We start from the raw sequence: 25,444 nt of genomic DNA on the forward strand, positions 1-25,444 counted from the left end.
GACCACAGGCATGCGCCATCACACTTAGCTAATTTTTTAAATTTTTCTTAGAGACGGGTCTCCCTATGTTGCTCTGGCTGGTCTCAAATGCCCAGGCTCAAGTGATCCTCCCACCTTGGCTTCCCAAAGTGCTGGAAATACAGGCATGAGCCACCACACCTGGCCCCCTTTGGCTGGTTTTAAGAGTGTCTTTTTATATTTGGTTTTCAACTTTTTATATATGGTTATTAGCTTTCTGTGGCTGCTATCACAAATTATCACAAACTTGGTGGCTTAAAACAACAAAAATTTATTTTCTCCCACTACTGGATTTCAGAAGTTCAAAATCAGTTTAACTGGGCTGAAATTAAGGTGTTAGCAAGGCTACACTCCTTCCAGAGGCTCTAGGAGAGGATCTGTTCCATGCCTCTTCCAGCTTCAGGTGGCTGCCAGTATTTCTTGGCTTGTGGCTATATCATTGTAGTCTCTGCCTCCATGTTCACATTACCTTCTCCTTTGCATGTGTGTCAAGCCTCCATCTACTTTCCTCCTATAGAGACATTTGTGATGTCATTTAGGGCTCACATGGATAATCCAGGATACTCTCTTCATCTCAAGATTCTTGACATAATCACATCTGTAAAGACCCCTTTTCCAGATAATATCACATATGTCACATTCATAGGGATTAGGACACAGGCATGTCTTAGGGCAACATTTAACAATTGTTCTTTATAGGTGAACTTGTTTTAAACAGATGGTTTGTCAGTGTTCAGATGTTGACCTGAGAGTGGTGGAGGAATCTCCATTACAACCTGTTGAATCACACAGCTATGTTCGGATTTATTAGTTTCATTCCTCACTGCTTTTTCTCATCTACATCATCTTTCTCTTTCTTGAATTATTTATTGTGAATTAGTCTTTGTTTGTAGTATATCCTCACACATTTTCTTCATATGAGTTTGTGGATGATAATCCCTTCAAGAATAAAAGTGTTATTTTGGTCTCATATTTGAACAATTTTTTGACTGGTGTAGAATTCTAGGGTTAAGATCATTTTCTCTCAAAATTCTCTGAATATTGCTGCATTTCAGTGCATGAAGAATTTAGGCATCTGAGAAGTTCAACAACTATACAGTTTACACGTTTTTTATTTGGGCCAAGTTTGAGGACTGCAACCCAGGAGCATAGATTCAAGTTGCTCTGAATATATGTTCTAATTAGCAGCAGTTACAAGTAGGTTTTTAAAGGAAAAAAGGAGAGGCAGTATCTAATTTGTTTACCAAGAATTTACATTAAAATAGCATAAGCTATTGATTGCTATACATTGTCCTTTGTATCACAAATTCCAGGAACATGAAGATAATGGTTGAGGCAGCTAGTCAGCAACAAATTGCCTTTAAACAGTTGCCCCCCCTGGGCATTGTGTGGGGGGTGTGACTGAAGTCCCCATACTCATGTCTTCTGGGCCTGATAAATTTTATATACCTCACATAGCTCAGGCTGCTCTGAGCTGTTTTTCTTTTCTCATTTCCCCCTTTTGATCAAAATTTTTCTCTTCTGAAAGCATTGATGATCAGCATTTTAGATATAAGTTTATCCCATGTCACTGGGGAGGCTTATTCCCAGATATTCTTGTCCCGTGTTGGATGGAAAGACGTAAAAAAGGTACCATGGCTTAAAGAACTTAGTGAGGTCTCAAGGCCAAATTGATTGGCAACACAGAGGAGCAGAGCAACAGGATCTCAGTCAAGCCATCCACTCACGCTGGAGCCATGGCATGAACAACTATACAGTTTACTCAAGTCCACCCTCACTTAATGGCACCAACTGCAAGTTTGGGGATTCCCCAAACCACCCTCAGATTTGATAGTTCATTAGAAGGATTTATAATACTCTGTGAGCACTATTATACTCACAGTTATGGTTTATTACAGGCAAATTATACATAGTAAGACCAGCCAAGGGAAAAAGTACATAGGGTGGAGTTTGGGAAGATACCAAATGTAGAGCTTTTGTTGTCCTCTTCCCATGGAGTCAGGACACGTTGCTCTCTTGGCATCAGTGTGTGACAAAATGTGCAGAGCATTGCCTAACAGGAAAGCTTACCCAAGCCTTAGTGTTCAGAGTTTTTATTGGGGTTTCATTATGTAGGCATTATTGACTGACTGCCCTCTGGCTTGATCTCAGTCTCCAGCTCCACTTGGTGTGATCCAAAGCCTCCTAAATCACATAGTCATTTTTTCTGGAGTGTCTTTTCCCCACCCTAAATCACATTGTTACTATCTAGATTACAGTCTATTAGAAAAATAAATCAAGGCTGTGCATGGTAGCTCATACCTATAATCCTAATACTTATACTTTGGGAGGCCAAAGCTGAAAGATCTCTAAAATCCAGAAGTTCAAGACCAGCCTAGGCAACAAAGTGAGACCTTATCTCTACAAAACCAAACAAAAAAAAAAAAAAAATAGGTGTGATTGGGTGCACCTGTAGTCCTAGCTACTTGGGGGGCTGAAGATGGAGAATTGCTTGAACCCAGGAATTCAGAGCTGCAGAGAGCTATGATCACACCACTGCATTCCAGGCTGGGTTACAGAGGGGTGACCTCCATCTCAAAAAAAAAAAAATTTTTTTTCTTTTAATTCTTTTTTATTTTTTATTTTTTTTATAAATATATATATTTTTTATTATACTTTAAGTTCTAGGGTACATGTGCACAACGTGCAGGTTTGTTACATATGTAAACATGTGCCGTGTTGGTGTGCTGCACCCATTAACTCATCATTTACATTAGGTATATCTCCAAATGCTATCCCTTCCCCCTCCCACCACCCCACAACAGGCCCCGGTGTGTGATGTTCCCCTTCCTGTGTCCAGGTGTTCTCATTGTTCAGTTCCCACCTATGAGTGAGAACATGTGGTGTTTGGTTTTTTGTCCTTGCAGTAGTTTGCTGAGAATGATGGTTTCCAGCTTCATCCATGTCCCTGCAAAGGACATGAACTCATCCTTTTTTACGGCTGCGTAGTATTTCATAGTGTATACGTGCCACATTTTCTGAATCCAGTCTATCATTGTTGGACATTTGGGTTGGTTCCAGGTCTTTGCTATTGTGAATAGTGCCACGATAAACATACGTGTGCATGTGTCTTGATAGCAGCATGATTTATAATCCTTTGGGTATATACCCAGTAATGGGATGGCTGGGTCAAATGGTATTTCTACTTCTAGATCCCTGAGGAATCGCCACACTGTCTTTCACAGTGGTTGAACTAGTTTACAGTCCCACCAACAGTGTAAAAGTGTTCCTGTTTCTCCACATCCTCTCCAGCACCTGTTGTTTCCTGACTTTTTAATGATCGCCATTCTAACTGGTGTGAGATGGTATCTCATTGTGGTTTTGATTTGCATTTCTCTGATGGCCAGTGATGATGAGCATTTTTTCATGTGTCTGTTGGCTGCATAAATGCCATCTTTTGAGAAGTGTCTGTTCATATCCTTCACCCACTTGTTGATGGGGTTGTTTGTTTCTTTTCTTATAAATTTGTTTGAGTTCTTTGTAGAATCTGGATATTAGCCCTTTGTCAGATGAGTAGATTGCAAAACTTTTCTCCCACTCTGTAGGTTGCCTGTTCACTCTGATGGTAGTTTCTTTTGCTGTGCAGAAGCTCCTTAATTAGATCCCATTTGTCAATTTTGGCTTTTGTTTCCATTGTTTTTGGTGTTTTAGATATGAAGTCCATGCCCATGCCTATGTCCTCAATGGTATTACCTAGGTTTTCTTCTAGGGTTTTTATGGTTTTAGGTCTAACATTTAAGTCTTTAATCCATCTTGAATTAATTTTAGTATAAGGTGTAAGGAAGGGATCCAGTTTCAGCTTTCTCCATATGGCTAGCCAGTTTTCCCAGCACCATTTGTTAAATAGGGAATCCTTTCCCCATTTCTTCTTTTTGTCAGGTTTGTCAAAGATGACATGGTTGTAGATGTGTGGTATTACTTCTGAGGGCTCTGTTCTGTTCCATTGGTCTATATCTCTGTTTTGGTACCAGTACCATGCTGTTTTGGTTACTGTAGCCTTGCAGTATAGTTTGAAGTCAGGTAGCATGATGCCTACAGTTTTGTTCTTTTGGCTTAGGATTGACTTGGCAATGCAGGCTCTTTTTTGGCTCCACATGAACTTTAAAGTAGTTTTTTCCAATTCAGTGAAGAAAGTCATTGGTAGCTTGATAGGGATGGCATTGAATCTATAAATTACCTTGGGCAGTATGGCCATTTTCATGATATTGATTCTTCCTATCCATGAGCATGGAATGTTCTTCCATTTGTTTGTGTCCTCTTTTATTTCGCTGAACAGTAGTTTGTAGTTCTCCTTGAAGAGGTCCTTCACATCCCTTGTAAGTTGGATTCCTAGGTATTTTATTCTCTTTGAAGCAATTGTGAATGGGAGTTCACTCATGATTTGGCTCTCTGTTTGTCTGTTATTGGTGTATAAGAATGCTTGTGATTTTTGCACGTTGATTTCGTATCAAGACTTTGCTGGAGTTGCTTATCAGCTTAAGGAGATTTTGGGCTGAGATAATGGGGTTTTCTAGATATACAATCATGTCATCTGCAAACAGGGACAATTTGATTTCCTCTTTTCATAATTGAATACCCTTTATGTCTTTCTCTTGCCTGATTGCCCTGGCCAGAACTTCCAACACTATGTTGAATAGGAGTGGTGAGAGAGGGCATCCCTATCTTGTGCCAGTTTTCAAAGGGAATGCTTCCGGTTTTTGCCCATTCAGTATGATATTGGCTGTGGGTTTGTCATAGCTCTTATTATTTTGAAATACGTCCCATCAATACCTAATTTATTGAGAGTTTTTAGCATGAAGGGCTGTTGAATTTTGTCAAAGGCCTTTTCTGCATCTATTGAGATGATCGTGTGTTTTTTGTCTTTGGTTCTGTTTATATGCTGGATTACATTTATTGATTTGTATATGTTGAACCAGCCTTGCATCCCAGGGATGAAGCCCACTTGATCATGGTAGATAAGCTTTTTGATGTGCTGCTGGATTCGATTTGCCAGTATTTTATTGAAGATTTTTGCGTCGGTGTTCATTAGGGATATTGGTCTAAAATTCTCTTTTTGTGTTGTGTCTCTGCCAGGCTTAGGTATCAGGATGATGCTGGCCTCATAAAATGAGTTAGGGAGGATTCCCTCATTTTCTATTGATAGGAATAGTTTCAGAAGGAATGGTGTCAGCTCCTCCTTGTACCTCTGGTAGAATTCGGCTGTGAATCCATCTGGTCCTGGACTTTTTTTGGTTGGTAAGCTATTAATTATTGCCTCAATTTCAGAGCCTGTTATTGGTCTATTCAGAGATTCAACTTCTTCCTGGTTTAGTCTTGGGAGGGTGTATGTGTCAAGGAATTTATCCATTTCTTCTAGATTTTCTAGTTTATTTGTGTAGAGGTGTTTGTAGTATTCTCTGATGGTAGTTTGTATTTCTGTGGGATCGGTGGTGATATCCCCTTTTATCATTTTTTATTGCGTCTATTTGATTCTTCTCTCTTTTCTTCTTTATTAGTCTTGCTAGCAGTCTATCAATTTTGTTGATCTTTTCAAAAAACCAGCTCCTGGATTCATTGATTTCTTGAAGGGTTTTTTGTGTCTCTATCTCGTTCAGTTCTGCTCTGAGTTATTTCTTGCCTTCTGCTAGCTTTTGAATGTGTTTGCTCTTGTTCCTCTAGTTCTTTTAATTGTGATGTTAGGGTGTCAATTTTATATCTTTCCTGCTTCCTTTTGTGGGCATTTAGTGCTATAAATTTCCCTCTACACACTGCTTTAAATGTGTCCCAGAGATTCTGGTATGTTGTGTCTTTGTTCTCATTGGTTTCAAAGAACATGTTTATTTCTGCATTCATTTCGTTATGTACCCAGTAGTCATTCAGGAGCAGGTTGTTCAGTCTCCATGTAGCTGAGCAGTTTTGAGTGAGTTTCTTAATCTTGAGTTCTAATTTGATTTCACTGTGGTCTGAGAGACAGTTTGTTATAATTTCTGTTCTTTTACATTTGCTGAGGAGTGCTTTACTTCCAACTATGTGGTCAATTTTGGAATAAGTGCGATGTGGTGCTGAGAAGAATGTATATTCTGTTGATTTGGGGTGGAGAGTTCTGTAGATGTCTGTTAGGTCCGCTTGGTGCAGAGCTGAGTTCAATTCCTGGATATCCTTGTTAACTTTCTGTCTCATTGATCTGTCTAATGTTGACAGTGGGGTGTTAAAGTCTCCCTTTATTATTGTATGGGAGTCTAAGTCTCTTTGTAGGTCTCTAAGGACTTGCTTTATGAATCTGGGTCCTCCTGTATTGGGTGCATAAATATTTAGGATAGTTAGCTCTTCTTGTTGAATTGATCCCTTTACCATTATGTAATGGCCTTCTTTGTCTCTTTTGATCCTTGCTAGTTTAAAGTCTGTTTTATCAGAGACTAGGATTGCAACCCCTGCCTTTTTTTGTTTTCCATTTGCTTGGTAGATCTTCCTGCATCCCTTTATTTTGAGCCTATGTGTGTCTCTGCACATGAGATGGATTTCCTGAATACAGCACACTGATGGGTCTTTACTCTTTATCTAATTTGCCAGTCTGTGTCTTTTAATTGGAGCATTTAGCCCATTTACATTTAAGGTTGATACTGTTATGTGTGAATTTGATCCTGTCATTATGATGCTAGCTGGTTATTTTGCTCGTTAGTTGATGCAGTTTCTTCCTAGCCTTGATGGTCTTTACAATTTGGCATGTTTTTCCAGTGGCTGGTATGTGTTGTTCCTTTCCATGTTTAGTGCTTCCTTCAGGAGCTCTTGTAAGGCAGGCCTGGTGGTGACAAAATCTCTCAGCATTTGCTTGTCTGTAAAGGATTTTATTTTTCCTTCACCTATGAAGCTTAGTTTGGCTGGATATGAAATTCTGGGTTGAAAATTCTTTTCTTTAAGAATTTTGGATATTGGCCCCCACTCTCTTCTGGCTTGTAGAGTTTCTGCCGAGAGATCAGCTGTTAGTCTGATGGGCTTCCCTTTGTGGGTAACCCGACCTTTCTCTCTGGCTGCCCTTAACATTTTTTCCTTCATTTCAACTTTGGTGATCTGACAATTATGTGTCTCGGAGTTGCTCTTCTCGAGGAGTATCTTTGTGGCGTTCTCTGTATTTCCTGAATTTGAATGTTGGCCTGCCTTGCTAGGTTGGGGAAGTTCTCCTGGCTAATATCCTGCAGAGTGTTTTCCAACTTGGTTCCATTCTCCCCATCACTTTCAGGTACACCAATCAGACGTAGATTTGGTCTTTTCACATAGTCCCATATTTCTTGGAGGCTTTTTTCGTTTCTTTTTATTCTTTTTTCTCTAAACTTCTCTTCTCGCTTCATTTCATTCATTTGGTCTTCAATCACGGATACCCTTTCTTCCAGTTGTTCGAATCGGCTACTGAAGTTTGTGCATTCGTCACTTAGTTCTCGTGCCATGGTTTTCAGCTCCATCAGGTCATTTAAGGACTTGTCTACATTGGTTATTCTAGTTAGCCATTCATCTAATCTTTTTTTCAAGGTTTTTAGCTTCTTTGTGCTGGGTTCAAACTTCCTCCTTTAGCTCAGAGAAGTTTGATCATCTGAAGCCTTCTTTTCTCAACTCGTCAAAGTCATTCTCTGTCTACCTTTGTTCTGTTGCTGGTGAGGAGCTGCGTTCCTTTGGAGGAGGAGAGGCGCTCTGATTTTTAGAATTTTCAGTTTTTCTGCTGTTTTTTTCCCTATCTTTGTGGTTTTATCTACCTTTGGTCTTTGATGATGGTGACATACAGATGGGGTTTTTGTGTGGATGTCCTTTCTGTTTGTTAGTTTTCCTTCTAACAGTCAGGACCCTCAGCTGCAGGTCTGTTGGAGTTTGTCGGAGGGCCACTCCAGACCCTGTTTGCCTGGGTATCAGCAGCGGAGGCTGCAGAACAGTGAATATTGCTGAACACCAAATGTTGCTCTCTGATCGTTCCTCTGGAGGTTTTGTCTCAGAGGGGTACCCGCCGTGTGAGGTGTCAGTCTGCCTCTACTGGGGGGTACCTCCCAGTTAGGCTGCTTGGGGGTCAGGGACCCACTTGAGGAGGCAGTCTGTCTGTTCTCAGATCTCAAACTCTGTCCTGGGAGAACCACTACTCTCTTCAAAGCTGTCAGACAGGGACATTTAAGTTTGCAGAGGTTTCTGCTGCCTTTTGTTCAGCTATGCCCTGCCCCCAGAGGTGGAGTCTACAGAGGCAGGCAGGCCTCCTTGAGCTGTGGTGGGCTCCACCCAGTTCGAGCTTCCCGGCAGCTTTGTTTACCTACTCAAGCCTCAGCAATGGCGGGCGCCTCTCCTCCAGCCTCGCTGCCACCTTGCAGTTCAATCTCAGACTGCTGTGCTAGCAATGAGTGAGGCTCCGTGGGTGTGGGACCCTCTGAGCCAGGCGCGGGATATAATCTCCTGGTGTGCTGTTTGCTAAGACCGTTGGAAAAGCGCAGTATTAGGGTGGGAGTGATCCGATTTTCCAGGTGCCATCTGTCACAGCTTCCCTTGGCTAGGAAAGGGAATTCCCTGACCCCTTGTGCTTCCCGGGTGAGGCGATGTCTCGCCCTGCTTCGGCTCACGCTCGGTGGGCTGCACCCACTGTCCAACAAGCCCCAGTGAGATGAAGCCGGTATCTCAGTTGGAAATGCAGAAATCATCCGTCTTGTGCGTTGCTCACGCTGGGGGCTGTAGACTGGAGCTGTTCCTATTTGGCCATCTTGGAACAGGAATCAAAGGAAATTTTTTAAAAATCCCATTTATGATAGCATCAAAAAGAGTACAATAGTTAGGAATAAATTTAACCAAGGATGTAATAATGTGCACACTGAAAATTATAAAACATTGATGAAAGAAATTCAAGAAGACACAAATCAATGGAAAGATACCTTATGTTTATGGATTGGAAGAATCAATATTATTAAAATGTTCATACTGCCTGAAGCAATACACAGATTCAACACAATCCCTATTGAAATTCCAATGGCATTTTTCACAGAATAGAAAAAAAAATTCTAAAATGTGGATGAAACTAGAAGACATTATATTAAGTGAAATATACTAGACACAGATAGATAAATACTGTATGATTTCACTTATATATGGAATCTAAAAAAAATGTTCAGTTCATAAAAGCAGAGAGTAAAACAGTGGTTGACAGTGGGTGGGAGACCTGGAGAGATGTTGGTCAAAGTGTATGAACTTACAGTTGTAAGATGAATAAGTTCTGGATACCGGACATACAGCATGGCAACTATAGTTAATAATAATGTATTGAATATTTGAAATATGCTATAAGAATAGATCTTAAGCATTCTCACCACATACCCAAAAAAGTAACTATGTGAGGTGATGGATATTTTACTTAGCTTGATTGTGGTAATAATTTCACAATGTGTACATTTATCAGAATATCACATTGTATACCTTGAATATATACCATTTTTATTTGCCAATTATACTTCAAGGCAGAAAAAAATAAAATTAGAGTAGAAACAAAAGCTTGGAGGTCTGAAATGTTACTAAAAGTGTAACATTTTCCTTTTTTCAATATTCTTGCCACATGGTGGGTAGGTCCTTTTAGTCTGAAGATTCAAGTCTGTCTTATTTGGGGGATATTTTCTTCAATTAGTCCCTTGATTATTGATCCTTCTCTTTTGGCTGTATTCTCTCCTGTGACTGCTAATAGGTGTGTAAATCAGTACCAGGCACATAATAAGCACATGTTAAATATCTGTTGATCGTATAAATTGATCCTGGATTTGCTTGATCAGTTTTCCGTGTATCTTACATCTTCTTTCATGATTTACAACCTAGACATTTTGCTGTTTTCAGAACAAATTTTTTGAATTGTTACTGCAGAAGCTGCTTTTGCTCATTTATGTTCTGCTTTTAAAAAATTATGCCATTTTATTAAAATATAGTTTTTGGAATGTTGTCATGTTATCTAATTTTTTATGTCCTCTGATGACTTTGTTTAAAATTAGTTCAATTATGTCTTGTATCTGAGGATACTTATTAGAAATTTTTTTATTACTGTTATTCTATCTTGTTTCCCATATTAACTTTGTTCCATTAAGGACTGTTTGTCCCCATTGCTTTTTTTGTCTCCTCACTTTAACTGCTGTTTCTTCTCAAAAGTTCTAGTCAATGCATATATTCTATTCAACATATATATTTAGCTCTAGATGTAATCAGTTTTGGTATGTGCCTCCAGGTGGCATCCTGTGCAGTCTTCATGAAGTGAAACCCAAAGACTGGTGCCCCTGTCAGTTGTTCTACTGCAGAGACTTTGTGGAGTATGTGGTTGGAGATGAATCTATGGTTAAGGGAGTGGATTTTTTAAAACCAATATGTGAAGTATAATATACATAAAGTGCATCAACTGTAAGCATACAACTTGTTGTGTTTTCACAAAGTAAACATACCATGTAGAACCAACACCCAGATTAAGAACTAGAGCACGAACAGTACCCCAGAAGCTCCCTTCTCCCTTCTTTTAGTCACTACTCTTCTCCAAAGGTGGCCACTGTCCTGATTTCTCCACATAGATTAATAAAACATAGCAGGGGCCGAGAGTGGTGGCACACACCTATAGTCCCAGCTACTCAGGAGGCTGAGGTGGGAGGATCGTTTGAGCCCAGGAGGTCAAAGCTGCAGTGAGTCGTAATTGTGCCACTGCACTCCAGCTTGGGCGACAGAGCAAGACCCTGTCTCAAGATAAATAATAAAATATAGCAGGTATTCTGTTTATGTCAAGTTTCTATTGCTCAAAATGATGTTTGTGAGATTCATCTGTGGTAAATTGTATAAATGTAGTAGTAGATTGTGAATTGTCATTACTGTATTGTATTCCATGTTATGACTCTCCTGTAATTTATGCATTGCACAGTTGATGGGCATTTGGGTGGTTTCCAGTTTAAGGTATGAAAAGTAGTGCTGTCCAAAACATTTTTTTATATGTCTTTTGGTGAATTTGCATACATCTGTGGGACCATACCAGAGTGGATTGCTGGATTATTAGGGAGTTTTGTTGGTTGGTTGTTTGCCATTTTGTTTTAAACTCCTTGTGTCCTGGTGGGAATTGTTCAGTAGATACTGAGAAATTGATGATGCAAAAGAAAATGGATAGCAGAAGGAATGAAGTTCTATGGGTTTTGGCCCTCACAAAAGTAAATACATATCTTCCTACAGAAATCAAACAGGTTTTTATGGCTCAAAGCCCCGGAATTATACGGGGCAGAATAGGCGAATGTGCTTGCAGTCAGCTGGCTTTAAAAGAGCCTTTCTTATTGGAAGTATAGAGAGGAAAATTCTTTTCCACTAGCGGGAAGAACCACTTCTGGTGCTCAACATCATGTGCATTGCTGCAGTGGAGAAGAAAAAAGAGGGAAGCGTTTTCATTGGGCTCATACTGCTTATGATAGGCCTGGCAGAGTCTTGCTTTTGGCAACTATTGAGTATGAATGGCCAGTCTCTACTTGTAAAGAGAGGTCATTGGACTTAAATGGAATTAATGGAAGTAAAATGTTCTCAGGTTGTTACTGCAAATCATTCATGTAGTCAGTGCCAGGGGTTAAACAATTCTCGCCTCTTTTCTAGTCTGTCACCTTCAAAACTACCAGCAGAAATCTTGCTCGAGCCATGTGTATGAAGAACCTCAAGCTCACTATTATCATCATCATCGTATCAATTGTAAGTTTTTGTCCTTTTAGTGTATGGCTTTATTTTTCAATCTCTAAGAAATTAGGTACTAGAATTATTTCTCAATGATTAACACTCTGAAATGAGCTACATATGTCTTTTAATAGTGAAACACATGACCAGGCAGTGGCTTTCCTATGAAGTCACTATGAAATATCTCTACTTAAACCCCTCCTTCCTATTGAGAATTATTATATATTCTCAATAGGAAGAGATCTATAAAACTGACCTCACAGAAATGTAGTTATTTTAAATAAAGACATTTCTGGTTTATATGTAATGGGTTTATTGTTTTTATTTTTAAATTAATTATGTATTTTTAAAGTTTTAATTTCTAATATGGCAAATGCTGATAATTATAATCCCCCTTAAACAAGAACTCTTTGGAGTCCTCAGTAATTTTTGAGTGTGTAAAGAGGTCCTAAACCACAACTTTAAAAACTATTGCTAACAGGTGGGGGGTGCTTTACCCTGTTCATGGTCAGATAAAGTTGCCTTTCCTCCCCATCCTCCAGTCATGTCCAGAAGCCCAAAGTTACCTCCAAGCAGATAACTCTGACCCTGCTTCTCCTCTACCACAGCTTGAGGGTCCTCTGCCTTAGACAGCTGGATTTATCTAAAAGAGAAGAGCAGTCATAGATCTGTAGATTTTATACTGGAAGTAATTGTCATGGCCTTGAATGGTTCCTTGCTCAGGTTTCTCTTTCTAATATCACATTTTAGGCTCCTGAGCTTAGCTTCTTACTTATTATTTGGTCTGGGAGTTTAGGTTGATTTGTGCAGCTGAATTGTTAAATTCAGAATATATTTACTGATTACTTATTACATGCAGAGCACAGCTCTAAATGCAATATCAATCTTTGCGAAAAGGTGTTGTCACCTAACGAGATGTACTTCAGCTTGAAAAATCCTTATATTACAGCTGTGACAAATAGTCAACTTTACATCAAGTTGGTAAACTTTACATTTGTGGCATGTGTATGTGTGAGTATGTGTGTGTATGTGTGAATATGATGTCAGAAGTTCAACCTATTCATTAATAAACAGAATTTGCTGTAATCTGCCCCCCAACCCTGGCAATATTTATAGTTCCCTACAAGGCAAAATGCTTTGCTCACTTTTGGAGCAAAGGGCATGCAATTCATCAATGCATCCTTTTCCAAGCTTGCAAATAATGAAATCAGTCACTTAAAGATCTCAAAAAGTTGTAATTTAAAGCAAAATAAAGCCAGGCATAGGGGCTTATGCCTGTAATCCCAGCACTTTGGGAAGCTGAGGCAGGAGGATTGCTTGAGGCCAAGAGTTTGAAGCCAGCCTGGTCAACATAGTGACACCCTATCTCTACAAAAATAAAAAATAAAAAATAAATAAAATAAAGTGACTAATGCAGTGAACCTAATGTTTAAAATCTATTTTTTGTGATATAATAATGTGAACAAGTAGTGACTTTTATAATATAATTTAAAATTATAATCTAGAATTAAAAAGCAAACACATCTGTAATAGCACCAGTATTTTTGCAGTGTTACTTACATCATCTGCTTTTCATTGTTTTGGTCATCGTAATTATTGTGTCATTATCCACTGAACAGTTCGTAGCAGTGTTCTTGCTCATAAGTGATATAGATGAAAGCCTTCTACTCAGGCTTTTAAAATATATTCTTATATTAATCAAAAATAAAATTCATGTGCAAAACCTAAAAATATAATTAATGAAACCATACTTCAGGAGAATTATGGTTATTTGTGATTTTTTTATGACTTGTTAATGACACATCAGTATGAGTTGCTCATTTAGCCTTGATTCTGCCGAGTTACCAGTGAAGAGCAACAACCCCACTGCTTTCTCTCCCACTGAAGGAAACGCTAGAGTTCAAGTGGGTGTGAGTTATACCAAAAACGACAATGTTAACTACACTTCTGTCTTGGAAAATACTTGTTTAGTGTGTTCCATTACTACATAACTGCTACTCTAATGGAATCAGAAGTATTTCTTAATAAGGCTCTACTTTCCTATATATATTATTTAGAATAATATGATTGATTCAAGAAAATAAAATTGCTCTCCTCGTCCCTCCAGGTGTTCATCTATATCATTGTTTCACCTCTCTGTGGTGGATTTACATGGCCAAGCTGTGTGAAGAAATAGGAAAGAAGAAGTTACCATTAACCAAGGATATGAGAGAACAAGGAGTTAAAAGCAATCCATGTGACTCAAGCCTTTCACATACTGACAGATGGTATCTGCCAGTCTCTTCAACCCTCTTCTCACTTTTTAAAATCTTGTTCCATGCCTCCAGGTTTATCTTTGTCTTATCTACCAGTTTATTCCTGTGAACTTCAGATTGAACCATTCATTGCAGCAGTAGCCTTAAAAAGGCTTTTGTTTATTTCTTTGGTTTGTTAACTAGTGTCATCTATTTAGAGAAACATTTTTGTTTTTAATTGCTCAAAGCTGTCGCCGCTAGTCTTATGAGCTATCTACTAAAACTATGGAGAAACTTTGTATGTGCACACAAAAGTATTCAAGAGACAGTATTGCTAACATCTCATCTTAATGTCTTTTGTTATTGAGAAGTTTTAGGTGCTTCAAAACAATATAAATGGATAATAGTTGTTATTTGGGGAATTGTAATGATGTTGGTGCTGCTTCCTTCTAAGAGCTCAGACAAGTAAAGTATGAAACATTCTTATTTCAGTTAGATGGGGAACATTTTGCTAGCCCATTAGAAGCACACAGAATTATCCTTGTCCTCCTAATATTGACTTTCAGGAATAAAGTTCAGTGTGCTGATCATTCACAATACAGTGGATAGCTTGATATCTTCTGTTTTCCCATTGCAGTTGATTTGAGAAGATGAAGGTTTAAATATTGTTGAAAGTTGCAGTTTTTTAAATGTGTTCCTTTTTCTTCTGTGAATATTTAGGGCAATCGTGTCGCTAATAGAATATGTAGTAGAGGGGGTGGGGAGGTAAATTCCTCTGACTTGCCAAAGAAAAAGAAGGGAACCACAGTGGATATGCTAGCATTTTAGCTGTGCAAAGGGAGGTAGTGTGGGAAAAGTGTTTCCATTCTGGGAAAAGCCCAAACCGAATACGGTCAGCAGTCAACTCCAGGGTTTGGGCTTGATTCCTGTTGAATAATAGTTTTGAGCATTCTTTGTGGTTAAATAAATTCTTAAATCTGCCTAGTTTTGATGAATTCTTTTGTGAAACTTGAAAGAGAATAGACAGTATGACATATAGAATTAATACAAAACAGTTTAACAACCATTTAACTGCAGTGTAAGAAAATTGGACTGTAATCATATCGCTACTGGCATCTGTTATCTAGTATGCATTTCTGGTGTGTATCTGAAAGGAAGACATTTTCTACCCTAGATCCAATTGCATTTATTTATCAATAAGTGCCATTAAATTGAAATTATATTACATTTTACACTTTCTCAATGAATGAACAAATTAGTCTGTAGAATCTAGCCACCTGTTTAGCCTAGTCATGTGCCTTGAACATATATGTGTCCCATAATCTGGCTCATGGTACCTGTTCTTCTATCCAAACCTTTCAATTCATGCTACCTGATTCATTTATTTGACATAGATCTTAGGCCCACTTGAACTCTTTTCTTGTTTATCTAGCATAGCACAAACGTTTTTCCAGTCTTCTTTATCAACACTAATGCCTCTTAATTGCATCAGTATTTCCTATTGGAAAATACATCTGTTCCAGAAAAACATTTGGCATTCCTGAATAATTTCCAAATGTTTTTAATCCAAAGAAAAAGGTTTAAAGCTTATTTCCCTTTCTTATACACACCTGAATAAAATTGATGTGCATGTTTTAGGGATCAATTACCTAACTGTTCCTTGGTCTATTTATGTATAAGAATGCTTTTTAAAGCACATGTCTCATTTTAAATGACGCACAAACTGAAGATGTTAATAAAATTTAAGAGTAATACAATGATTTGCTTGTTTTAGAAGTTCTTTCTGGAACCTAATTTCTTCTGATGACATTTGCCATTGTTTACAGAACAAAAGTATTTTACTTATGCGGAAAATATATTAAGAAGTGTTACCTGGAGACTTCCAGTAAAGATCTGTAGCATAGTCTCAGGTGTGTAGAATTTCTTCAAAAGACACAAATGAACTTAAAAAATATATAGCCCATGCTGAAACCAATGAAAGATTCTGAGATGATCACACAGCCTTCACAACTATCGTCCTGAGTGCATGATTTAGACAGAACTGAAAAAGAACCCCAGGGATTTTCATCCAGTTTAGCACAATTCTGAAAAATCTTTCTATCTAAAGTTAAATGACTGGTTCTGAAAGAGACTCAAGCGGAAGGCATAATGGTGGGAGGGAATAATTCATTATAGCAAACAGGGTACCTAAACAGAAATAAAAGAAAAACAGGCACAAATCAAATATACAAATAGATAGGTCACAACAAAATAATCAGTCACTTGGGACCTCTGAACGTAAGGTGGCTAAAGTCAGGTATAGAATATATTTTTGTACAGGCTGCAATAACTTAAAAACAGCCTATTTAAGTTCTCCCTAGGTTTTATCCAGATTTCAACTGAAATGTGCATTCTCTAACAGACACTTAGAGAAAAATAAAAGATGGTTATTTATTTGGTTATGAATAAAGAAAGAAGTGACACCAGCTATTTCTCTTTACTTCAAACCCTTGGCAAAAAAAAAAACAGTGTTACAATCCAAAAGTTTCCTTAATAGTGAATGTAGGTGCCTTTAGATAATGGTTTCTTCTTGCTTGACTCTTGGTATCTATCTTTTCTGGCCTCAAGATAGACAAAGATACTGGGTTGCTTCCCAGGGTATCTTGATGGAAATGAATGTAACAACAACAGCAGCACCGTAGACCCTACCAAAGTGTTCTACATTAGAAGCAAGTCTATGTCTTGCAATGCCATCTTCTCAAGTATAATAAACAGGGTGGAAGTAGTGGTTGTGGTTGCCATGTATATCAGCGTGAATCCAGTGAAGACAGCAGAGGCAAGACAAGTGTTAGGGAAACAAAGAGTTTAATATAGGATTCAAGGTTACAAAAATGTGTGACAAACTGGGAAGTGAAGGTCTGGAAGGCAGGTACCAGAAGATCAGAAGAACAGTCCTAGTGCTTTCACTTGAGGCAGTGACATAGGCAGACAGGTCGGAGCTTGCTGGAAAACCTAAGAAGCCCTGTATGTCTGCTTGCTGATATGGTTTTGCTGTGTCCCCACCCAAATCTCGCCTTGAATTTTAATCCCTATAATCCCCACATGTCAAGGGAGGGACCTGGTGGGAGGTGATTGGACCATGGGGGCAGTTTCCTCCATGTTGTTCTCATGATAGTGAGGGAGTTCTCATGAGATCTGATGGTTTTATAAGTGTTCGACAGTTCCTCCTTCACACACTCACTCTCTCCTGATACCTTGTGAAGAAGGTGGCTGCTTCCCCTTCCACCATGATTGTAAGTTTCCTGAGGCCTCCCCAGCCTTGCGAAACTGTGAGTCAATTAAACCTCTTTCCTTTATTAACTGCCCAGTCTCGGGTAGTATCTGTACAGTAGTATGAGAGAAGACTAATACACTTGCCAAAGTTGGTGTGTGAAGAGAGACATGTGGAAAGGTTTATGGAAGCCACAGCTTCAGTAGATCTGATGCCAAGTACCAAGTAGTAGGCTTGCAGCCCCAGTTGGTTAGCATGACTAACAGTCCACAGAATGAGTTGGATGTGGAATGGAAAAGGTTGAGGAAAAGCTGCGACACACCAGGCACCTAAGCATCTTTGTATCCTTTGAAGGGTACTGGCCTCTACTTTTGTTCTGCTTTCCAAGTCTCATATAAGTGCAACTCACTGAGAAAGGCTAACCCTAAAACCATCTAGGGTAAGGGGATTCTATGAAATTCTCAGCTTCTGGCAAAAGCAATGGTGCCAGTCTAGCATAGCCCAGTTCCTCCTAGACTCATTCATAGTATTGGCTCTACTGCTTTGTCAAGACAATTTTGGTAAGTTAAAGCATTCTTCTGGTCAGAATACACTGTACAAAATTATTTTGGGTTCGTGCTATTTATTAAGCCCAAACAATCTAAATCCAAAATGCTGTGACTTTTTACATCTCTTCCAAAGAGAAAAAAAATCATGGCAATATTCTGTATAAGAAAACTAACATGCACGGGCTGACACCATGTTTTTTCTTTTTAAATCCCCATTGCAAGTTTAGAAAAGCACAAAGAAAACTTTAAGAAGTCTCATAGAGAATATTGAACTCAAGACTGCAACTTACAGACTTTCACTGCTGGCCAAGATGGAGTAACAGATACAGGGCATTTACCTACCTGCGTGAAATAACACCCCCGGAAAGACAAAATATATGAAGCAACAGTTTTCAAGACACTGGACACTAGGCAACAAAGGACAGTGATCTTTCGAAGAGTTGAATCCTACAATTGTACCAGCTTATTCTGAGGAGAGAGTAACTAGGTCATAATACAATGAGGAGGAACCCAGGCAGAGCCTGGCAGATTCCCTGGGTTGAGATGTGACTTGAGATTTCCAGGAAGATCAAGACAGATGTCTTTGCAGGATAGAGTACTAGAGAGGAGAGAGCTGCACAGAAAGGACTCTAGATCTGAGGAAACTACTCAATGGCAGAGAAAGAACCACCCGAAAAAAGATTAGACGGAAGAGTTTCCTGCACTCACGCAGTACCAGAAGTAGTGCCTGTATATGCATTCAAACTGGAAAATTTCATGAATCACAGAGTATTTGATAGAGTACCCAGAAAGGTCTTACCTCAGTAATGGAGAATAAATAACCCTAGTCCAGAGCTTCTCAACCTTGGCACTGTTGGCATTTGGAGCCAGATATTTTTTGTCATGTGGGGCTGTCCTGTGCATTGTATTATAGTATTTTGCCAGCATCCCTGGCCATCAATCTACTAGATGCCAGGGCCACTGTCTTCCCAGTTCTGACAACCAAAAACCTTCCAAATGATTTCACAAAGTTGGGAAGACAAAATTGTCCCTGATTGAGAACCATTGCTGTAGACTAAACACACCTCTCATCCAGCTTGATACATTTTAAAAGTAAGACCTGAGATGATGAAATTGTTTTCCAGGTAACTGCATCCCAGAACAAACCTCAAGAATATATTTATGGAAACACAAACACAGCACGCAAATTAAAATTCAATGTGTAAGGCAGCAAATACAAAATTACCGGTCACACAAAGAAGCAGGAAAATATGACCAACGATAAGATAAAAAAATTTATCAATTTAAATAAATGGAGAACTGACATGTTAGAATTAGCAAAGATATAAAAACAGCTATTAATGTTGTATTACATGTGTTCTAAAAGGTAAGCAGAGGCATGAAATAAAAAGGCACATTTAATTTCTAGAAATTAAGACTAGGATATCTGAGATGTAAAATACACAGGATTGGATTAATGACCTAGTAGACATAGCAGAAGTAGAAATTACTGACCTTGAAGACTAAGCAATAGAAACTCTCCAAATGAAACACATCAATTAAAAGATAAAGTGTTAAATGTCAAAGTGTATTTTTAGAGTCAACTCTTATCTTTAAGAAACTCACTTAAAATGTTAATATAGGTTAAAAGTAAAAGCATGGGAAAATATACCATGCAGACAGTAATGAGAAAACTGCAGTAGATGTCAGAGCAAAGGATATTGCCAGGGATAGAGAAGATTGTTTCATAATGATAAGTGGGTAAATTCATCAGGTGTCAGGGTTTTTAGGGTTTAAGGTTGGGGATTAGGATTACCAGTTTAAAATCTAGGAGTTAGGTTTTGGGCTTCCTCTGGAGCCTACATGGTCTGAGAAGGAAAAGCAATGAAATACTTCAGGTTTGGTGGTACTTCAGATTCTGATCTTCAATCTGCCTGTTAACATACATTTTTAGTCTTCAAATTAGCTGCTCCATACATTCCATCTAGGATTTATAGTTGTGGGAGAGACACAATAGAGTGTGCTTTCTCCATCTTGCCCAGAATTTGAACTCCAGTGCAAAATAACCCTAACCCCAAAACTTGGTGTTATAAAACAATTGCGGTGTTTTATTTCCTAAGGTTCAGGTTCAGGTGTAAGCTTTGGGATTAAGAAATTGAGTTCAGGTTAGGGTTTGAGTTCAGCTTGAGCTTCTGTTTTAGAATTAGTGCTGACATCAGGGATTGGGTTGGGATTATTATTGAGGTTTGGATTCATACTCAGATTGAAAGGTTTTGGGGTTTTTTTTGTTTCGGTTTTTTTTTTAGACAGAGTCTTGCTCTGTCACCCAGGCTGGAGTGCAGTGGCACAATCTTGGCTCACTGCAACCTCCGCCTCCTGGATTCAAGCAATTCTCCTGTTTCAGCTTCCCAAGTAGCTGGGACTACAAGCACACACCACCACGCCTGGCTAATTTTTGTATTTTTAGTAGAGACAGGGTTTCACCATCTTGGCCAGGCTGGCCTCGAACTCCTTACCTCAAGTGATCCACCTGCCTCGGCCTCCCAAAGTGCTGGGATTATAGGCATGAGCCACTGCACCCAGCCAGATTGAAGGTTTTGAATTGGAATCAAGTTCAAATTTAGGATTGAGGTCATAGTCAGGGTTTGGTTAGGTTTAGGATTGATCAGGTTACAGGCATGGGTTCGGGTTTAGGGGTTTTGGTAAGGTTCTAGCTCAGGTTTGAGTTTAGGCTTAGAGTTTAGGGGTTCCATTTCAAGTTAAGACTCTGGATCAGTTTTATGGCTTAGGGATTTGGGTTCAAGTCTGGGTTAGATTTTGAGTTTGGAATTAAGGTTTATATTTATGGTTAGGGTTTAGGGTATAAGGCTTGGGTTAGGGTTAGTGTGGATGTTGAGTCTGAGGTTTGGGCTTAGTTTGAAATTTGGTTTGGGCTCAGGCTTGTACTCTGACTTGACTTTGATTTTAGGGTGTATGGATTCAGACTTGGGTTCTGGTTCAGGTTCAGAGTTTGGATTTGTATTTGTGTTAGGATTTGGGGTTGGATTAAAGGACATTATTGAAATGCAGTTTGGTTCTGGGCTGGAGTTAAGGTAGGGATTTGGTTCAGTTTGAGGTCTGTGTTGAAGCTCGGGCTCTGAGTCCAGTTCATGTTGGAGCTCTGACTAGAGCTCAGTTTGGACTAGGGCTTGGGCTCTGGCTGAGATTGAGATTAGGACAGGGGCTTAGGATGGAGCTAGGTGCAGGATAGTTCTCCAGATATCCTTGGACCATCCCAGTTCTCCCTTCTTTCTCACTCGTAATTTTCAAGAATAATTGTAGAATGTCTGGGAATGCAACACCCTGAGATAAGGAAGGCTAGTTGGAACAGCCCAGGCTTTGTTCCAGTGCCCCTCACCCAGAACAGGATGTCATACGACGCTTTAGACAAGTAGTTCCTGTACTCCCAGGGTATAAAATCCAGAGCAAACTGCTTTCCAGGATCCTTCAATTGCAGTGCAAGTGAGGCATGCACAGACAAGACTCTATCTGCCCTGAGCAGCTTTCCTGAACCTTGGGGGACTGGCTCACAGTGAATCCTAGGCTTCTGTTTTCTCTTACTGCCTATTTGTAATTAATACATTTGCTTCATCATATAACTTGTCTCACCAGACCCAGACAAGTTGGTAAGCAGTGCACAGTGAACCTGCTTTATGCAAGTTTATGGCTGGGGCTGGAAATGGTAATGGGATTGGGATTAGCTAGGTTTGGATTCTAGTTCAGGTTCAGATTTGGATTTAGGGTTTTCATGTTCAGGTTCAGGCTCTATCTTGGGTTTGGAGTTTAGTAGTTTGGGTTCAAGGTTCAGGTCTGGATTCAGATTTACAATTTGGGGTTTGGGTTCAGGATTATGATTTAGGTTTGGAGTCGGTGCTGGAGTGATTCACATTTGGGCTTGAGCTCTCACTCAGGTTTAGTTTTAAGTTTTAAGCCTGAGGTATCACTCTCATTCAATGTCAGAATTTAAGAGCAAATTTGATTGGAATTTGGTTTAAGATTACAGTTAGTGTTAGGGTTGAGTTCACGGTTTAAGTCGTGTTTTGAGTTTAGGTTTAGATTGGATTTATGGTTTGGGCGTGGGCTTGGGCTCAGACTCTGGCAATGGTTTTATGTTCAGGGATTTAGGCTTGGGTACGAATTCAGGTTAGAGTTGCTATTTGGCTCCAGGTCAAACTCAGGGCATGGGTCAGGTATTAGGTATATGATTGGAATAGAGGTCCGGGTTTGGGTGTGGTCTTGTTTGGATGCAGGGGTTGACTTGAGTTCAAGTTTGGATTTAGGGGTCTGGGCTGAGGACAATGTTGGCTCTAATTTATGGTTGTGGTTGGTTTTGGAATGTGGTTCAGGTTAGAGTTTTGGGCTCAGGTTTGAACTAGTGCTCTGCTCACACTGGAGTTGGTGCCATGGATGGGGACGGGGTTTGGGCCAGTGTTGAGGCTGGGTTTGAGTTTGGGACCATGAAAAGGTTGAAGTTGAGGTTAGTGTTGGGATCAGGATTTGGGTAAAGGATCAGGTCAGGGTTTGGAATTAAGTCAGGATATGATCCCTCAGCCTGGGCCTTGCCTCAGACTTGGTTTTAGAGTTTGGGTTTTGAATTCAGGTTAGTGGTCAGGTGCAGTGTTCTAGTCATGTTTGGAGTTTGAGTTTAGGGTTAGAGTATCAATTTGAGTTTGGGTTCATGCTTAGGCCTTCTTTTGGGGGCTAGGTTGAGGTCAAGGTGTAGCTCAGGCATAGGGTTTAGGTTTGGGTTTGGTTTTAGGATTCAGGCTTGGGCTGGGGTGTAGTTAGGTTCCAGTTAGGTTCTAGTTCAGGATTTCGGAGTTAAATTTTAGGTTCACATTCAGAGTTTGGATTGCGGTTCACATTCATGCCCAGACTTGGGCTTTGACTCCATTTCAATATTATGGCTAAGGGCTTTGGATTAGGATTTTGATTGGGGTTCAGGTTTTGCCTTTAGGTTTGAGTCAGGCTTTAATGTTTAGAGTTTGAGTAAATTATGCTTTAATTTCAGAGTTTGGATTTAGGTTATATTTCAGGTTTAGGGCTTTAGTTTGGTGTAGTTGTGGTTGGGGACAGGGTTTGGAACCCAGGTTTGGTTCTGGGTTGAAGTCAGCATTGTGGTTGGGATTCAGGTTGGTGTTTGGTTCAAAATGGGTTTTGGGATTTGGCTTTGGCTCAAGCTCAGGCTCTATTTCTAGCTTGACAGCTCAAGCTCTCACTGGTGCTGGGACTGGGATTGATGTCAAGTGTGGGTGTGGGATGTCAGGGTTGGGTTTGGGGTTGGGGGCAGGATTTGAATTGGGTTTTTTATGGTGCTCAGGCTTGAGTCCTGACTTGGCTTTGTTTTGGGGTTTAGGGATTCCAGCTTGGGTTCAGGCTTTAGAAATTTGAGTTAGGTTCTAGTTCAGGTTTGTGTATATGGGTTTAGATTGGAGGTTGAGGTTGGAGTTTTTGGTTTTAAGAATTTAGGGTTGGGTATGTGGTTGGGGTTAGGAACGGTTGGGGACAGAGTTCAAGTCAGGGTCGATTTGGGGGTTGGGGTAAGGGTTTGGACTCAGCTTGGACTCAGTTCTCAGGCTGGGGCTTGGCATGGGCTGGAGCTGGCACTTGGACTTGGCCTGTTCTTTGAATGTACTGGGGCTAAGGCTTAGCCTGAATTGGGGATAGGGTTCAGGTTGTGACTAGAGTTTTTTGTTTCTGATTATGTTTGGATTAGGGTTGGGGTTGAGGTCAAAGTTCGGGGTTGGAATTTCATCAGGAGTATTGATCAGGATTCAGATCAAGCTCTGATTCAGGCTTGGTTTGGGCATTTAAGGGTATGAGTTCTTGTTCATGTTTACAGTTTGGGTCCTGGTTCATGTCTTAGGGTTAAGGTTAATTTTAGGGTTGAAGTTCAGGTTCATATTCTGGTTGAGAGTTCACCTTTGGGTTTGAGTTGGCTTTACAGTTTAGGGTTCATGTTTGTGTTCTCCTTTGGATTTGTCTTTAGGGTTTAGATGTGAGGTCTGAGTAGTAGTCAAGTACGATTTTAAAGTTTAGGGTTGGTGTTGTGGTCAGAGTTGCTTTTGGTGTAGTGTCTAGGTTCATGCTCAGGTTTGTACCAGGGCTGAAGCTAGGGCTTGGCTTGGGGTTGGGTTAGGGTTAGGGTAGGGTTGGGGTGCTGGTTTTGACTAGAACTTGGGCTAGGATTGAGTTGGGGCTGCTTTGGATTATTGCGATTGGGTCGTGGAACCCCAGATTCAAACTCGTGTACCCAATGCACAGCTGAAGCCAAACACCGAGACACCAGTTCTTAGAGATAGAGAAAGGTTTATTAGATTTTGCCAAAGCAAGAAGGCGGGAGAGCAAGATCTGTCAAATCTGCCTTAACAAAAAGATGCAGCAAGGAGTTTTTATGCAGCTAGGGAATAAGGGAGTATTTCAGAGAACTGAAGGGCAACGTCTGTGTTTCTTCAATCTCAGATAACACCTGGAACAACCAGACTTCTGGGCATCAAAACCTGGTCCCAATGTCCTTCAAAACATTCATTCCTTTTGCCATTTTTTTTTTTTCGTGGCCCTGAAGTTATCTCCTCCTGCTTGACAAAGAAAGAATATGTCAGTAGTTTATAATTATATTGTGGAAACAAGGAATAATGGGCCAAAAATGAGTAGTTAACATGTTTAAGCAGTGGTCTGATCAGAATTTTCATTATTTCAGTCACTAAAATGCTGGGATGCTGAAATCTCAAGGGGCCTGATTACAGTTGGATTAGGGTGGCATGGAGTCAAAGTTGGGAACAGCATTGGCCTTGATATGGACTGGTGTTCTGTCTTGTTTAGGCTTGGGCTCTGACTTGGGCTTGGTTTTAGGTTCAGGTTCAAATGTTCAGGTTCAGGTTCTGACTTGTGTTCAGTGTTTGGCTTTTAGTTGGGATTTAGTATTAGGGTTAGTATTAGGATGGGCTTGGGGTTTGGCTTGTTTGTCAGGTCAATGTTAGAATTGGGGTTCTAGGGCTAAGTTTTAGGGTTTAGGGGTTCAAGTACATGTTCTGGTTTGCCCACATGTAAGTATAGTGTTCTGGGATTTTGGTGGGGTTCAGCTTTGGGTTTGATTGGGGTTTGTGGTTGGGCTTGAACTTGGACTCTCACTTGTGCTCAGTTTCAATGTATAGGGGGGTTCGTGTGCTGGTTCAGTTTTAGTGTTGTGTTTCAAAGACCAGAGCCAAGATCACAATGGTAGAAGGCAGATTTAACCCAGAGGAGAGCAGACCCCAGAGTGCAGGGGGCGGGGTCCTGAGCTTAAAGGGTGGCATCGCCCTGGAGTTAGAGGAAACAGCCTGGCCCCAAATGGTGAAGCTGTGGAAACAAAAGGCTGAGCCACATGAGCATAGGCAGAGGCCTGAGCTTCAGGCCCAGGGTGAGCAGTCTCATCCTTAGATGGAGGAGCAGTGGGTGCAGCTGGGAACAAAAGAATGAGCCATGCCCCCAGAGGGCAGAACCGCAGGCCCAGATGTCAGTTTCATGGTTAAGGGTTTAGGTTTGGGTTAGAGTTTGGGATTAGTGTTTATGGTTAAAATTAGAGGTACAGTAATGGTTGTAATTGGAGTTAGGTTTGGGTTTGGCTTTGACTTTGGGGCTTGGTATGGTTCAGGTTTATGCCTGGGTTGGGCTCCTGATTTAAGCTTGGTTTTAAA

At 40.0% G+C, this 25,444-nt stretch overlaps 1 protein-coding gene across 7 annotated transcripts in view; it reads left to right on the top strand.

The window, feature by feature from the left end:
• VAMP7 (vesicle associated membrane protein 7) overlaps positions 1 to 15,712 on the top strand; it is a 62,425-nt gene extending 46,713 nt beyond the window's left edge. For all 7 annotated transcript variants that reach the window (NR_033714.2, NR_033715.2, XM_017030063.2 and 4 more), the window contains 2 exons: positions 11,644 to 11,736; positions 13,826 to 15,712. Coding sequence is in view for 5 of the 7 variants with exons in the window: in XM_011545653.2 (XP_011543955.1) it covers positions 11,644 to 11,736; positions 13,826 to 14,082 (350 nt within the window). In the remaining 2 variants the exon portion in view is untranslated. The remainder of the gene's footprint in view (positions 1 to 11,643; positions 11,737 to 13,825) is intronic.

This window comes from Homo sapiens, chromosome Y (assembly GCF_000001405.40).
Source record: "Homo sapiens chromosome Y, GRCh38.p14 Primary Assembly".
Classification (NCBI taxonomy): domain Eukaryota; kingdom Metazoa; phylum Chordata; class Mammalia; order Primates; family Hominidae; genus Homo; species Homo sapiens.